Genomic DNA, 1,341 nt, shown 5'->3' with positions numbered 1-1,341 from the left:
AGATTCACCCTCACCATGGCCGGGCGCGGTGGCTCACACTTGCAACCCCAGCACTTTGGGAGGCCGAGGTGGGCGGATCACCTGAGGTTGGGAGTTCGAGACTAGCCTGACCAACATGGAGAAACCCCATTTCTACTAAAAATACAAAATTAACTGGACATAGTGGCGCATGCCTGTAATCCCAGCTACTCCAGAGGCTGAGGCAGGAGAACCCTGCTTGAACCCTGAACCCGGAAGGCAGAGGTTGCCCGGGAGGCAGAGGTTGCCCAGGAGGCGGAGGTTGCGATGAGCACTCCAGCCTGGGCAAGAAGAGCGAAACTCTGTCTCAGAAAAAAATAAAATAAAAAAAAAAGATTCACCCTCACCAATATGGGTGGGCATCATTCAACCCATTGAGGATGAAATAGAACAAAAAGGCAGAGGAAGGGCGAATTTGCTGTGTTTGAGCTGGGACATACATCTTCTCCTGCTCTCAGATGTCAATCCTCCTAGTTCTTGAGCCTTTGGACTCAGACTCGGACCTACACTACTGGCTCCCCGGGCTCTTAGGCCCTCAGGTTTGGACTGGAACCACTCCACTGGCTTTCCCAGGTCTCCAGCTTGCAGAGGACAGACCGTGGGGCTTCTCAGCCTGCATATTCACATGATTTACAGAGCCAATCCCTCACAGTAAATCTCTTTCTGTGTATCTATGTACATTCTGTAAGCTCTGTTTCTCTGGAGAGCTCTGAGTAACACAACTGCAAAATGCTAAAGAGTGTATGATAGGGAAAATAGGCAATCGATGTTCAAAACAAGGAGATGACAACATGTGGACTTCAGTCTCCAAAAATGAATTCGAAAAGGAAACAGAATTTGACCTGGGCTGCAAAAGGAGGGAGGGACATGGAGAAAGGGGAAGAAGGCTTGGGGCTTCAGCCGGGGGCTGGTGAAGGAAACAGAATTGCATGTAAGGGAGGCAGCCAGGGAGGAGCTAACTGTAAGTGTGTCCTTTTGCAGGGTAAAGCAGAGTCCATTGCTTGGGAGAGATCAGACTGCCTCATATTAGTCACTGGCTCCTAGTTCTTCCTCTGTGACCTCAGATTTAACAACTATGCTTCCTCTTTCACAGGCACAGATTGAGTCCCAACGTGCATCATCTCTTCACACCTGGGTGACTGTGTGACCTTCTTGCCCACAACATCCCCACCGTCCTCTCAGTGGTGGGAGGGGAGTGTAGAAGTGAGAGATGCTGAGGGTGCATGGGGTGCATAGGCTGGGGAAACCCACCTGGCCGAGAGCTGGCCTCCAGGTGCCGCTGTGAGGCAGTGCCTCACCAACGCTCATGGGGGTTTAATCCTC

At 51.3% G+C, this 1,341-nt stretch overlaps 1 annotated feature.

Annotated features, from left to right (window-relative positions):
* Positions 1,025-1,094: a silencer, noted in NCBI's record as "silent region_8210". NCBI's record gives its function as "represses an Ori minimal core promoter by ATAC-STARR-seq in GM12878 lymphoblastoid cells {active_cell/tissue: GM12878}" and the evidence as "EXISTENCE:reporter gene assay evidence [ECO:0000049][PMID:35858748]".

Source organism: Homo sapiens, chromosome 17, assembly GCF_000001405.40.
Source record: "Homo sapiens chromosome 17, GRCh38.p14 Primary Assembly".
Classification (NCBI taxonomy): Eukaryota; Metazoa; Chordata; class Mammalia; order Primates; family Hominidae; genus Homo; species Homo sapiens.
The sequence above is the reverse complement of the archived record's forward strand: the minus strand, read 5'-3'. Positions and strand labels throughout refer to the sequence as shown.